Source organism: Homo sapiens, chromosome 17 (assembly GCF_000001405.40).
Source record: "Homo sapiens chromosome 17, GRCh38.p14 Primary Assembly".
Classification (NCBI taxonomy): Eukaryota; Metazoa; Chordata; class Mammalia; order Primates; family Hominidae; genus Homo; species Homo sapiens.
The window spans coordinates 68310847-68326484 of NC_000017.11; the positions used below are offsets into that span (position 1 = coordinate 68310847).

The 15638-nt window shown below is 46.9% G+C and overlaps 1 protein-coding gene across 42 annotated transcripts in view, besides 1 other annotated feature; it reads left to right on the forward strand.

Annotated features, from left to right (window-relative positions):
• Window positions 1-15638, forward strand: part of ARSG (arylsulfatase G) — a 192850-nt gene that overhangs the window by 51677 nt on the left and 125535 nt on the right. The window lies entirely within an intron of this gene.
• Window positions 7722-8016: a silencer, noted in NCBI's record as "tiled region #10227; K562 Repressive non-DNase unmatched - State 21:Repr". NCBI's record gives its function as "represses a minimal TATA promoter and a strong SV40 promoter by Sharpr-MPRA in K562 cells {active_cell/tissue: K562}" and the evidence as "EXISTENCE:reporter gene assay evidence [ECO:0000049][PMID:27701403]".

Consider the following 15638-nt stretch of genomic DNA (forward strand, 5'->3'; position numbering starts at 1 on the left):
GTCCTTCAAAGACATTTTTTAGCCCTAAGGATAAAACCCATACCCCATACCACAGCTAACAAACTGGAGTTTGGCTGGGTGTGGTGGCTCACGCCTGTAATTCCAGCACTTTAGGAGGCCAAGGTGGGCACATCACTTGACAGGAGTTCAAGACCAGCCTGGCCAACATGGCGAAATCCCATCTCTACTGAAAATGCAAAAATTAGCCAGATGTGGCGGTGCACGGGAGAACCTGGGAGACAGAGGTTGCAGTGATCTGAGATTGCACTGCTGCACTCCAGCCCGGGCAACAGACTGAGACTCTGTCTCAAAACAAACAAACAAAACCAACAAAACCCCAAACTGATTTCTTCTCCACTCTTCTCTCTTGCAGTGGTCTTTGGATGAGCCCTCCCTTCATCTGTGTGATGGGTTCATCCTGGTGCACTCTCCACTTCCTCTGTTTAATTAGTTTCTACTCACTACTTAGGTCTCAGTTGTACACGAGGGCCTCAGGAAAGCTTTCGTGGATGCCTCGGGTGTTCTGTGATGGTCCTTGCTGCTTTCTGTGGTGGCTGTTCAATCATCTGACCACTACATTGGGTTGAATAGCATCCTCCCTAAATTCATGTCCATCTAGAACCTCAGAATGTGACCATATTTGGAAACAGGGTCTTTGCAAATGTTATTAATTAAGGCTCTCGATGATCTCAGAATCGATTTAGGGTGGGTCCTAAATCCAGTGACATTTCCTTATAAGAAGAGGAGAAGACACAGGGACACACAGAGAGAGATGGTGACGTGAAGATGGAGGCAGAGATTGGAGCCATGCCTCTACAAGCCAGGAACACCAAGGACCGCTGGCAACCAGCAGAACAAGGAGAGAGGCATGGAACAGATTCTCCCTCAGAGCCTCCAGAAGGTACCAGCCCGGCCGACATCTTGATTTCAGACTTTTAGCCTCCTGTACTGTACTTTTTTTTTTTTTTTTTTTTGACGGAGTCTTGCTCTGTCGCCCAGGTTGGAGTGCAGTAGTGCGATCTTGGCTCACTGCAACCTCCACCTCCCAGGTTCAAGCGATTCTCCAGCCTCAGCCTCCCAAGTAGCTGGGATTACAAGCATCTGCTGCCATGCCTGGCTAATTTTTGTATTTTTGTAGAGATGGGGTTTCACCATGTTGGCTAGGCTACTCTCGAACCCCTGACCTCAAGTGATCCACTCGCCTTGGCCTCCCAAAGTGCTGCGATTACAGGTCTGAGCCACCACGCCTGGCCTGTACTGTTGTTTTAAGCCACACAGCTTGTGGTAATTTGTTATGGCAGCCACAGAAAACTTACACACCTCCCTCCTAGCTCTGGACTTCAGGAAGAAAAATGCCTCATCTGTTCTTTCCCGCTTATATTCCTAGCATGTAACACAGTGCTTGGTACGTAGTGGGCAATTAATAAATATTTGTTCATCAATAAATGGGCTCTAGGAGCTCAAGATGCCCTGGAATGTCACCCCAAATTTTGCATGTAGGAATACTTTTCTGGGGAGAGAGTTCATCCATTCATGAACATTTACCAGATTCTCCAAAGGGCGTGGGTTGCCAAATGCTTAGGAACTTCCGCTTTCAGTGTTTAGCAGGTTAGCGGGGAAATATTAGTCCCATTATTTAAGCTGAGATTTGCGAGGCCTACACGTTTTTTTTTTCTCATGTGCTGTCTCTACTGTCACACTCTCATCCTGAGCAGAAAGGAGGACTCAGGGGTCAGATGCCAAATGTGGTTCGTTGGGCTCTCCTTCTCCCCACCCCCTTATGAAAGTGTTTCTTTCCATCTGAGCCTTGTGACAGTGGCCAGGTGGCTAGCCCTCTGGCCTGAGGTCGACGGCTTTTCATTCTTCTTTGTTGACAGGAAAGCCGGGCTTCCTGTGAGGCCATGAACTGATTCATCGCTGGTTTCTCCCACTGCCTACTCACGGCCAGTGGGGAACCATGACTTTCAGACACGAACTCTTATTGCCCAACAGGGTCTGGGGTGACTAGCTGGGACTGCACGCTCAAGCCACCACGCCCGGTTCTGTTGCCTCCTTTTTATTTGTGCATGAATTTTCTAGGACTGCTGGAACAAATTACTCCAAACTGGACAGCTTAAAATGTTACTTTGTTCTGGCCAGGCACAGTGGCTCACACCTGTAATCCCAGCACTTTGGGAGGCCGAGGCGGGCAGATCACGAGGTCAGGAGATCAAGACCATCCTGGCTAACGTGGTGAAACGCTGTCACTACTAAAAATACAAAAAATTAGCCGGGCATGGTGGCAGGTGCCTGTAGTCCCAGCTACTCAGGAGGCTGAGGCAGGAGAATGGCGTGAACCCGGGAGGCAGAGATTGCAGTGAGCCGAGATTGCGCCACTGCACTCCAGCCTGGGTGACAGAGTGAGACTCCATCTCAAAAAAAACAAAAATAAAAACAAAAAAACATTACTTTGTCCTTTCACAGTTCGGAGAGCCAGAAGTCCAAAATCAAGGTTATGACTGAAGGCTCTGACAGAGAATCCATTCCTTGCCTCTCTCCTGGATTCTGGTGCCTGCTGGAATCCTTGGCATTCTGGGCTTCTAGACTCCTATCTCCGCCTCAGTTGTTATGAGGCGTTCTTTCATGCCAGTGTCCAGACTCCCCTCCTCTAATAAAAATACCAGTCTTTGGATTGAAGGCCCACCCTACTCCAGTATGACCTCATCTTAACTTAATGACATCTGCGAAGACGCTATCTCCAAATAAGGTCACGTCACAGGTTCTGGATTGATATGAAATTGAGGGGAACGCTGTTCAGTCTGGTGCAATTAGCTGTATTACGTATCTCTCTCTCTCTCTTTTTTTTTTTTTTGAGACACAGTTTCACTCTGTTGCCCAGGCTGGAGTGCAGTGGTGCAATCTTGGCTCACTGCAACCTCCGCCTCCGGGTTCAAGCGATTCTCCTGCCTCGGCCTTCTGAGTAGCTGGAATTACAGGCACCTGCCACTACGCACGGCTGATTTTTGTATTTTTAGTAGAGACGGAGTTTTGCCATGTTGGCCAGGCTGGTCTTGAACTCCTGACCTCAAGTGATTCACCTGCCTTGGCCTCCCAAAGTGCTGGGATTACAAGCGTGAGCCACCATGCCTGGCCTACATATCTCTTTTTACTCCGCTTCTAACGCAGTCTATAATGTAGTAGGTGGTCAGTCAGTATCTGTCGCATTAAAGACTAAATGTCATGCTTAAGAGGGCAGGAGCCAGACAGTTTGAGCTCAAATCCCAGCTCTGCCACTTCCTATCTGTGGCCCCGGGCAAACTGCATCATCCCCTGGAGTTTTGCTTTCCTCTTCTGTAAGTGGGGACAATGATAGCACCTCTACCTCACAGGATGTTGTGAGGGTTAAATTAAGTAATCTGGGCCGGGCACAGTGGCTCACACCTGTAATCCCAGCACTTTGGGAGGCCGAGGCAGATGGATCACCTGAGGTCAGGAGTTTGAGACCAGCCTGACCAACAAGAAGAAACCCCATCTCTACTAAAAATACAAAAGTAGCCAGGCGTGGCGGCACATGCTTGTAATCCCAGCTACTCGGGAGGCTGAGGCGGGAGAATCATTTGAACCCGGGAGGCGGAAGTTGCAGTGAGCTGAGATTGCGCCATTGTACTCCAGCCTGGGCAACAGAGCAAGACTCCATCTCAAAAAAAAAAAAAAAAAAAATTAAGTAATCTGTAAACCAGGTGTGGTGTTGCACATCTGTGGTCCCAGCTACTCCAGAGGCTGAAGCACACGGATCCCTTAATGCCAGGAGTTCAAGGCTGCAGTGAGCTATGATCATGCCATTGTACTCCAGCCTGGACAACAGAGTGTCTCATAAAAAAAATAAAAAATAAAAAATTAAGTAATCTGTGTAATCAGTTAGCATAGAGCCTAGCATACAATAGATAGGGTTCTATGTTAGCTATGGTTATTTTTGTTATTGTTACTAGAAATGTCCAAATGGAATGTCAGTGTGAATTGGCTAATCTGCATGATAAAAGGTCCAGTGACAAAACTTGGAAGGATGAGGTGGAGTTCCAGTGACAAATTCCTGTTAATCCCTATGCTGGCTGTGCATTGGGGCCAACACCTTTATTTGAATCAACACAACAGCTGCAACAATCACTAACCCTTACCAAGCTCTTGCAAGGTGCCAGGCTCTAGGCATTACCCTGGCTAATTCTTGGTACCACCCTACTTTTCTCTTATATCTCAGATGAGGAAATTGAGGTTAAGTAACACGCCCAGAGTTGGTGAGTGGCCAAGCCAATATTCAAACTCAGATTTCCTCATTCTAGAGCCTTATTCTTTCAGGGCTGGGCAGAACTGGGGAATCAGCAAAGAGAATCCATCAAGATTTGGCCAGCTTTCCCATATGGCTGTCAAAGAGCAGGAGGCCAGGCGTGGTGGTTCACATCTGTAATTCCAGTACTTTGGGAGATCGAGGCGGAAGGATTGCTTGAGCTCAGGAGTTTGAGAGCAGCCTGGGCAACATAGCAAGACTTCATCTCTACAAAAAAATCAATAAATTAGCTGGGCGTGGTCCTACCTACTCCGGAGGCGGAGTCAGGAGGATTGCTTGAGCCCAGGAGGTTGAGGCCACAGTGAGCTATGATCGTGTCACTGCACTCCAGCCTGGGTGATGGAGTGAAATCCTGTCTCAAAAAAAAAAGGAGATTGGAATCTCATCATTTTTTTTCTCCCTTTGGTGCTAATGAAGGATTTTTGTGCTGTCCAAGCATAAGAGGCAACCTGAGAAATGGGATTGTATTTAGTTATTTATTTTAAGATGAAGTCTTGCTCTATCGCCTAGGCTGGAGTGCAGTGGCGCGATCTTGGCTCACTATAACCTCTGCCTCCCAGGTTCAAGTGATTCTCCTGCCTTAACCTCTCGAGTAGCTGGGACTACAAGTGTGTGCCACCATACCTGGCTAATTTTTGTATTTTTAGTAGAGACAGCATTTCACCATGTTGGCCAGGCTGATCTTGAACTCGACCTCAGGTGATCCACCTGCCTCGGCCTCCCAAAGTGCTGGGATTACAAAGTGCGTGGGTGGCACCCAGGCAGAAATGGGATTTAGATGTCAGTCATCAAAATGGTTGATGCAACCATCGTTCAGGAGGCTCACCCAGCCAGGGATGTGTGATGGCTGCAGTTTCAGGTGCCTGCAATCTTATCCTGCCTACTCCAGCTTCATCTCCAACCCTCTCCTCATGTTCCTCACATTGCACATGTTTCTGTTCCTTGAACATATGCTTTTCCCTGCCTCAGGGCCTTTGCACTGGCTGTTGCCTCTTATTGGCGAGGTCTCTCCTCAGGCTTCAAGCAGCTGATCGCTTCTCATCCTTCTGGCCTCCACTCAAATACCATGTCCTCAGAGAGGCCTTTCCTGACCGTGCTCTCCAACATTGCCTTCCTACCCCATGCACATCTCCTACCCATTCTCCTGTTCTGTTTCCATGACCTGTATCACTGTTGAAATGATCTTCTTTGTTTACTTCTTTGTTGCCTGTCTCTCCCACTGGAATATTGCCTCCTTACAGCAGCCTCCTTATCTGTCTTATTTATGTCTTCAGTGGCTAAAACAATGCCTGGCACATGGTAGGTGCTCAAACAATAATTGTTCACGTACTTGGATTCCTGGATCTAAACTTCTAGGTGTGCACACATGGGTTGACCCGAGCATGAGAGCTGGAACTAGACTGCCTTGGTCTGTTACTTGCTAGCTCTGGGACACTGTGCTAGTTATTAAACCTTGCTGGACCTTAGTATGCTTATCTCTGCAATGGGAAAATAATGGCACCTACATCACAGGGCTATGGTGAGGAGGAAATAAGTTAGGTCATATAAGGCAGCAAAAGGGTCCCTGGCATGTATTGGTGCTTGATGGGTGCTAGCTCTTATGATTCCCTATGACACCGGCCCTGCTCCCCTGTTCGTCACAATTCCCTCCTCTGGCTGGAGGGTGAGGCCTGTTTTCTCAGCGTCTGTTCCAAAAGCACCTTGCTCTATCTATTCCCAGACTCTCACCCTTCCCCAGGTTGAGCTGTAGGACTCATCTGGCTTCTTAGAATCTGCTTGTTTCTTCTCATTCCTAGACCAAATCCCCAAGTCAACACCTAAAGGTCTCAGTAACATTTCCCTTTTAGTTTGTGGCCAGCGCACACGATTCGTTTTTTGTTTGTTTTTAACCTGGTTGCAGGAGATGTGATTTGCCCATTTTTGCACAGAAAGGGCACCATCCGTACCACAATTATGATGTCGTTATTTGTTAAAGGAAGAAAGGAATCTGGGGGAAGAAAAGCAGAATCTTTCGGTGACTTCATATTTTGGTATCCCTTTTCAGACTTCTAAACTCTATTTACATGGAGATAAAATAGGGATTATGGCCTAAAATCCCACAGCCTTAAGCCCATTTACAGTAGCCCAGGTCAAAGAGCATTCATGTCACCATATCCCTTTGGGAGAAACTGAGGCCGAGAGAGACGAAGTGTTTTTACTGTTATAATCAGCTCTCTGCCATGTGGGGGTCGATTATGTGGTTTGTGGGTTTGCTAGCTCAAAGATTGACTACATGAAAAATAATGATGAACTGTTTTGTTTTTTTTTTTTTGTATGTGAAAAACCCAAAGCTACTGCAAATCAGCAAACATCTCTTTATCAGAGGGCGTTGTCGTTTAGGGCCCCCAGTGTTGAGAGATTGCTCATGTATGCACCGCAAGGCCCCAAGTCCCCTCGCACATGTCAGTAGGTTAAGCAGCCAACCTATTTTGCCGTTGACCTTGTGGGATGTCATTTTGCCAATGTCCTTTGTAGATCTGAGCTGGGCTGTGCTGTTGAACACTTATCAGTTTAAAAATGATAAGATAGCCAGAAGATAATTGAAATGAAATTTAAATGAAAATGTCAGGGACTTAGTAATCAACTAAAACTTAAAAATGTTAAGCAATTGGCCAGGCGCAGCAGCTCATGCCTGTAATCCCAGCACTTTGGGAGGCCAAGGCCGGTGGATCACCTGAGGTCAGGAGTTCAAGACCAGCCTGGCCAATGTGGTGAAACCCCGTCTCTACTAAAAATACAAAAATTAGCCGGGCGTGGTGGCGGGTGCCTGTAATCCCAGCTACTCGGGAGGCTGAGGCAGGAGAATCTCTTGAACCCGGGAGGTGGAGGTTGCAGTGAGCTGAGATTGTGCCTTTGCACTCCAGACTGGGCGACAAGAGCGAGACTCTGTCTTGGAAAAAAAAAAAAAAATCAAGTAAAACAGGAGATGAAAGCAACTTGCATTACAATAGGGGACAGAGGATGAATTGCTCATGATTTAAAAAAGAGAAGAGGACCAATGCATTCTGTTGGCATCATTTCCAGCTCTTCATGCAGTCTGAAATTAGTTAAGATAACTCTGAGAGCTCGGTGAATAACCCTGATGATACAACACTAGTTTGGTTCTTGCTGGCAGCACATCTCAGACCCAGGGAAAGCCAGTGCTGGTTTCACCTGTGATAAACAAGTGACATTATTTCTTGAAAATTCTCAGGCTGGGAAGTGCCTTGCATATGACTCCTGGCTGGGTGGCTGGATTCAGGCAATGGCCTAGGATTTCTGAATGGGGATTTGAGCTCCTGGGCAGTAATGACTCACAGGTCTCTTGGGAGAGAGACAGAGAATGCCCAGTGATCGTGAGAGAGAGGTGGCCACAGGCAGCGAAGCCCAGATACTTCCCATTTGCTTGAACTGTCTGCCAGGCTGACTCAGAGGTGCAGGTGACAGCACACTGTAATCATGTTTACTTATGTACGTTGATTTGCAATATGTTAACTTTGCGCCTTGATCTCATTTCTTCTCTGCTTTCCCCCTTCTCTACCCCTGGTTTAATTTTGAGTCAAGTCAATGCTGCTGCTGCTAGGAGTTACGGGCAGTGGCTTAGCTCGGAATCAAAGATCAATATTTGCCACAGGAAGGTCAGGGGCTCCCAGGGACTTGAGGCTGTTTCTAAAACGGGCCTCAGTGAGCAATGAATTGAGCTGTCAATTTAGTTGAACACTTGGCTTGATTTGTGTTCTCAGAATTGGCTTTTTGCAAGAGTTCATGCACCCTGTTACCTCTCAGACCTCTTTTTCTCAGCCACCCTGCTGCCTTGGGGATTTGGCAGTAACCTAATGGAAGATGCGAACCAGGTTGGCAGTCACACTGCAGGGGATTGTGATGAGGTCTTGATATCTGGTGGACAGTATGGGGACGAGGGCAGAAAGGACAGTCTAAACAAGACCAATATTAGGGAGAGCAGGCCGCTTCCTCTTTCATGTAATTCCTTTTCAGCTGTATTCCTAACCCTGACAGTAACTCAGATTCAGGGTTGGGAGGACCCTCACTGGAGAGAAATCCTCTTGTCCTCTGACCTTCACCATTATCCCCTAGAGGCCAGCTTTGGGAGGTCCCATCCTGACTTCTCTTTGTAAGCTCTCGGCATGGTGGGACAGGCGACTTTATGTTTTTGCACTTGAGTAAATAGGTCAAATAGAATCAAAATCATGTCATGCCCACCTTTCAACTGGGGCCAGGTAAGTGCTGAACAAAAGGGACTTCAGGTTTTTACCTCATGGCTCTGTTTGATAGATGGGGACAGGCAGGAACACAATGACCTAGATGGTAGCCAATCTTAGAGAAAAGAAAAGGAACTGAAATATTAACCAGTGGGGCCTTGGTGCCAGCCTGCTTAACCAACTGCAAGCTCAAAGTAGCCTGTCCAATTGCTATTAATAGTTCCTCTTTTAAGCCTCCCAAATACAGTCATTCAACAGTGAATCTCTACGAAGAGGAGGACGTGAGACAACTGCTGGGAGACCCTAGCCAGCTCTGCCCTTAAGGGACCGATGGCCTGATGGCAAATAAAGACAAGAAAACCAGCCTTTAGAATGCAGGAGGGTAGTGTGCTGTGAGAGTGGAGACTCCTGCCATATCTCCTACTCCTTTTGCTTTTATAACCTGAGGTAGATGTATCTGAATTGACAGCTTAGGGGATAGAACTAGCATATCACTTATAGATTGGTCTCAGTCAAGAAAGAGAAAGGCCCCTTGCTGGGCTTCTCACCTTTTAGGTGATAAAGCTTGCAGTGAGGAATCCTGTTAAAGATAGTGCCGTGGCTGGGTGCGGTGGCTGACGCCTGTAATCCAAACACTTTGGGAGGCCAAGGTGGGCAGACTACCTGAGCCCAGGAGTTCGAGACCAGCCTGGGCAACACGGTGAAATCCCATCTCTACTAAAATGCAAAAGAAATTAGTCGGGCGTGATGGCGTGCGCCTGTAGTCCTAGCTACTCAGGAGGCTGAGACAGGCGAATCGCTTAGAACCTGGGAGTTGGAGGTTGCAGTGAGCCGAGATCGTGCCACTGCACTCTGGCCTAGGTGACAGAGCAAGACTCCGTCTTAAAAAAAAAAAAAAGATAGTGCCGTGGGGCTACAGGAAGAGAAAAGTCATTTCTCTAGAGCAAAGTCAAGAGGTCATGAGTAAAGATTATCTGTTAAGACTTGAATGCTGAGACTTAAAATGAAGGGAGAGGAGAGTGTTGTAGGCAGAAGGGAAGGCAAGAGAAAAGACCCAGACCTGATTCCTAGGATCTCCCTCGGGGCACTGTCCCAGGTGCTGGGAACACAGCTGTGATCCAGACAACCAAAAGCCCTCACTCTCCGGGGGGTGTTGCATTCTAGCAGTTGAGTATGGCAGGGCTGGGAGTGTGAGACTGGATGGAGGGACTGGGCATCTGGTACAGTGTGTCATATACATGTTTACAGGATTGGACATGATCCTGCAAGCTGTGGGGATCCTGAATGACTGAAGTCATCCACCTACATTTGAGAATTTGAGATGGGATTTTCCAGCTTACCAGGATGGCCCACCTGGGTGGCTGGAAGGGCGGGGGTCACGTTGCAGTGATCTCCAGGATGGCTTGACTCAGAATTGTGGCAATGGAGAGAGATGTCAGATTCAGGAGGCTTATAGATGCCTATGTGTATGTCGCATTGTCGTATACCTTGTGTGTGTGCTTCCTTGAATGTGAATGTGCATATATATATGAGACTGTGAAAAGGAAAGGAGAAATTTGCCAAGGACCATAACCAAGCTCAGCTGCCAGGAATCCTTTCTGGAAAAGAACAAGAGGCTGGATGTGGTGACGTGCGGTGGCTACTTAGGAGGCCACCCAGGAGGCTGAGACAGGAGGATCGCTTGAGCCCAGGAATTTGAGGCTGCAGTGCACTATCCTTGCTCCTGTAAATAGTCACTGCACTCCAGCCTGGACAACATAGCAAGACCCCATCTCAAAAAAAGGAGAAAGAAACAAAAAGAAAAAGAGTATAAATGGATTAATGAATGAATGAGTAGACGAAAGGCACCAAGTTCACTATTTGCTGCCACATTTGCTTGTAGCTTACAAAGGGCCTGCGTATCCATGATCTCAATGATCTCACTTGACAACCTTCTGAGGAATAAGTCAGCTGTGTTCCCATTTAACAGAAGGCAATGTGGAGGCTGGGCTGAGCTGGTTCTCTGAGTTTTATTTCAGCTACTTTCCAGTTCCCATCTCCCAACCCTGTCCCTTTACACACAAAGGCCGCAGCAAAAGATTTTAAAAACCTATTTTCACGTCCATGCCTTTAAATTATGAATGGAACAAGGACAGTTTTTATTCCAGTCAGAGTTGCCACAGAACACCCCATCATCTATTTTAAATTCCTTGTAAATGAAGGCTGGACACGCTTAACTTTGCAACGTTATGTCTCTCCGGGGCTTTTGTGGCAGCCTTTCCAGTGCTAGCCTTCCCTGATTCTAATACACATAATTTATGCAATGGCAAGTTGCTTTGGTTTCTGTCTGGCTGTGTCTTAATTTGCGTTGATTTTCTTGTTAACAGGCTGCTGTAATGTCTGGCTCTGTATTTCCAGCTTTGCTTTACAATGTATTTTCAGACTTTAATTAGGACCCCTGATGATGAACTGGCCTGAGCCTGCCCAGATAGACTTGGGAGGAAAGAAAGCTTTCCAAATAACAAGGTCATTTTATTGCTTATTAATTAGTCCAACTAAATGGAGACAGTGGCCAGGAGGGGGAAAAAAGGTGACGTGCAGGCCAGTTCATAAAGCTGCATTTTTGGGGGTGGGTACAGCGTCTCCAAAGAATTGCAAATAAAGGAAACGAGATTGTTTCTGAGAGTTAAGCTATGAACTTTAACACACTGTGGGGAAGGAATTGAGCCCTGAAAGCATCCGCTTAAGTGATTACATGAAGAATGAACTGACATGTTTTTTCCAATCAAACCACCTGAGTTTCTCTAAGTTTTGTTTGTTCACCAGATATTGCTGGGGCAGCCCTGCCCCACCAAGGTGCTGTGCTTGGGGCTGGAGTTGCAACTCTAAGCCCCATCTCATGAAACCTACACCCGGCAAAGGAACTCAAAACTGCATCCCGCTGTAGAAATGTACGATAGCTGGCCGGGCGCGGTGGCTCATGCCTATAATCCCAGCACTCTGGGAGGCTGAGGCAGGCGGATCACAAGGTCAAGAGATCGAGACCATCCTGGCCAACCCCATCTCTACTAAAAATACAAAAATTAGCTGGGCATGGTGTTGCGTGCCTGTAGTCCCAGCTACTCAGGAGGCTGAGGCAGGAGAATTGCTTGAACCTGGGAGGCGGAGGTTGCAGTGCGCCAAGATTGTGCCACTGCACTCCAGCCTGGCGATAGAGTGAGACTCCGTCTCAAAAAAATAAAATAAAAAAAAATTAAAAAAAAAAGAAATTAAGATAGCTGTTCCCAAGATGAGGACGTTAACAAGCCCACGGGGAGATTACATTTAGGGCCACTGTTAAAATTGGGCAAGCAGGGATAACATTCAGGCAGTGTGTTTTTGGCACTGACCAGCCATATTAGTCAGCTTGGGTTGCTGTAACAAATACAACAGACTGTATGGCTTAAACAATAAATGTTTATTTCTCACAGTTCTGGAGGCTAAAGTCCAACATCAGGGTACTAGCATGGTCAGGTTTTGGTGAGGGCTCTTTCCTGGCTTGCAGACGGCCCCCTTCTTGCTGTATTCTCACAAGGAGAATACAGTTCAAGACCAGCCTGGTCAACATAGCAAGACCCCATCTCTACAATAATAATAAATTAATAAGAGAGGGCTCTCTCTCTCTCTCTCTCTGATGTTATCATCCTAATTATTGGAAGACATGGAGGGTCTGGGAGGAGAACTGGTTATTTTTTTTTTGGAGTGAACAGATTTCGAATTAACATCTAGTTGGTGCCATATCCTATCAGTGTGACTTATAAATTCTCTCATTTGATCCTTGCAGGGATTTTATAAGATTAGCATTATTATCCTCACTTACATATGAGTAAAATGAAGTTCAGATAGTTTGAGTCACTGCAGACTCTAATTTATAAATTCTAGGTCTGAGAAGTCAATGAAAACTAGGAAAAGGACTCAAATTAACTTGACTTTACCCCAAAGCCATAGACATACTTAATGAGAGAGAGAGAAAGAACCCTCTTATTAATTAATTAATCATTATTATTGTAAAGATGGGCTCTTGCTATGTTGCCGAGGCTGATTTTGAACTCCTGGGCTCAAGCAGTCCTTCCACTTCACCTTCCCAAAATGCTGGGATTATAGGTATGAGGCACCACTCCCAGCCAAGTCCTCTTTTCACAAATGCACTTATCTCATCATGGAAGCTGATGGAACCCTCATAACCTTATCTAAATCTAATTACCACCTAAAGGGCCCATGTCCACATATGGACACACTGGGGATTCGGGTTTCCACATATGAATTTCGGAGGGACACAAACATTCAGTCCATGGAACCAGGCAAGAGGAAATGGTGGCTCAACAGCCTTTGAGTATCCCAGACCCACTGTCAAAGATCAATCCACAGGCTGGGTGCTGTAGCTCATGCCTGTAATCCCAACACTTTGGGAGGCCGAAGCGGGTGGATCACCTGAGGTCAGGAGTTCGAGACCAGCCTGGCCAACATGGCGAAACCCCATCTCTAGTAAAAATACAAAAATTAGCCAGGTGTGGTGGCGGGTGCCTGTAATCCCAGCTATTTGGGAGGCTGAGGCAGGAGAATTGCTTGAAACTGGGAAGTGGAGGTTGCAGTGAGCTGAGATCATGCCACTGCACTCCAGCCTGGTTAACAGAGCAAAACTCCATCAAAAAAAAAAAAAAAAAAAAAGTTAATCTACAGTAGAGAAAAGGCCCTCAAGCTTCACAAAGTAAAGGACTTTTTTGATGCTCCATTTGAATTCTCTTAGCATTAACGAAGTCCACACTCACTAAGGCAAACTTCAGATTCTGATTTCCTGTGTAGCTTGTGCACAGGAAGAAAACATGTTGACCACGCTGACATTCTGGTTCCTGTACCCATCCTTGGAAGTCAGATGGGTCGTGGGCATTCCTGCCTCTTTCTTGGGCTCACATGGTTTGTGTGGATGTGAGTCAGGCTCTCGGGGCTGGCACCACCAAGCATGACTCTCAGGACCTTCCCAGCCAAAGACTGGCTCCTGTAACACGATGACCTAGTTAATACGATACCTCCTGCGGACCGGCCCAGCTCCAGACAACCTTCCCTCGCGTGGCTGTAGTGGAAAGGGCATAGGAATTTGGGTTGGAAAGGCCTGGGTTCAAATTCTGGCTTTGCCATTTCCTCCCTGTAGGGGTCTGCAGTCTTCAATATGGCACCGTGATGAGACAGGCCTTGGCATAAGATGCACTGAGCTCATACCAGCTATGTAGTCTTGGAAAGCTATTTAAACTCTCTCTGCCTCAGCTTCCTTCTCTGTAGAATGGGAATTTGGATGCCTGTTTTACAGAGTGTTTTAAAAGTTAGAAATATGTGTAACATGAGTAGAGTAGTAGCCACTTGGTACGTGTTAGATATTTTTGTTACTATAAGACAACGCTAATGCCTATTTATACCTTAGGTCTCAGCTTACACTTAACTTCTTTTGGGAAATGCTTTCCCAACACACAGGTATACACACTTGGTGCCCTTTGAGAACATCCTGTGCTTCATGTTTCCCAAATCCTCTTACATAATGAAATTATCCACCTCCCTCACTGACCAGTGAGCAGCTTGAGGGCAGGGATTTGTCTTGTTCATTGATATATCCTGGATCACCTACAGCAGGGGTTCTCAACCCCCAGGCCACTGTACCAGTCCATGACTTGTTAGGAGCTGGGCCCTACAGCAGGAGGTGAGCGGCATGTGAGTGAAGCTTCATCTGTATTTACAGCCACTCCTCATCGCTTGCATTACCGCCTGAGCTCCGCCTCCTGTCAGATCAACAGCGGCATTAGATTCTCACAGGAGTGCGAGCCCTATTGTGAACTGCCCATGTGAGGGATCTAGGTTGCATGTTCCTTATAAGAATCTAATGCCTGATGATCTGTCAGTGGCTCCCATCACCCCCAGATGGGACCATCTAGTTGCAGGAAAACAAGCTCAGGGCTCCCACTTGTTCTACATTATGGTGAGTTGTGTAATTATTTCATTATATATTACAATATAATAATAATAGAAATAAAGTGCACAATAAATGTAATGCATTTGAATCATCTCGAAACCATCCCTCCCAACCCCTGTCTGTGGAAAAACTGTCTTCCATGAAACTGGTCCCTGGTACCAGGAAGGTGGGGGATAGCTGACCTACAGTATAATAGCCAGGACTCTCTGGTTGTAAGTGACGGAAACCCAACTCAATCAACCTAAACACAAAAGAGGCACAGGTGGGGCTCTTGAACTAAGCCCCTGAGAGCCTCCATTTTTTCCTCTGTGCTTCTGAGCCAGTTGGCCCATTCTTTCAAGTTCCTCCATGTGATAGTCAAGGAAGCCCTTACCCTTCTGGGGTTGCCTGCTTATAGCTTGATATTCCAGAGGGGGAGAAAAGAGCTATTTCTCATTCTCTGGTTCAGAAAATTCCAAGTTTAAATTCACAATAGCCCTGCTTGGCTCATGGGTCATGGGCCAGTTCACCAAGGACAGAAGCTTGTGCTAGTTTGATTAGCATGCAGTGGAGTCCCACACTGCATTAGTATCCAGGTGGGACATTACATGGGAAACTATCATTAGGTCTCACCAGGTAGAGTGCAGGACCCGAGCTGCTGTTGGTGGAGAAACAGCGTTCCTGAGGTCTGGAATTATACCCTAGGGCAGTGACAAGACTAGGCAGACATACCTCTGCTCTTGTGGAACTCTAACCTAGATAAGGGAGCCAGCAGCAGCAAGAAGACAAATCCCTGAACAAGATAAAGTCAGATATGATAAGGGTTAGGGACAAACTCGAACAGTGCTGCTGCAGGTGTAGCCGGGTCAGGGAGATCTCCCCAGGAGGCGAAATGAGAGCTGAAGCCCAGCTGACCAGGAGGGGCCAGCCCTGTGGAGACCAGAGCAGAGTGATCAGGACAGAGGGAACACAAAAAGGGCCTGAGGCCAGAGCCAGCTGGAAGTGTTCTAGAAAAAACAACTCAGCCTGGCGCGGTGGCTCACACCTGTAATTCCAGCACTTTTGGAGGCCCAGGTGGATGGATCTTGAGGTCAGGAGTTTGAGACCAGCCTGGCCAAGATGG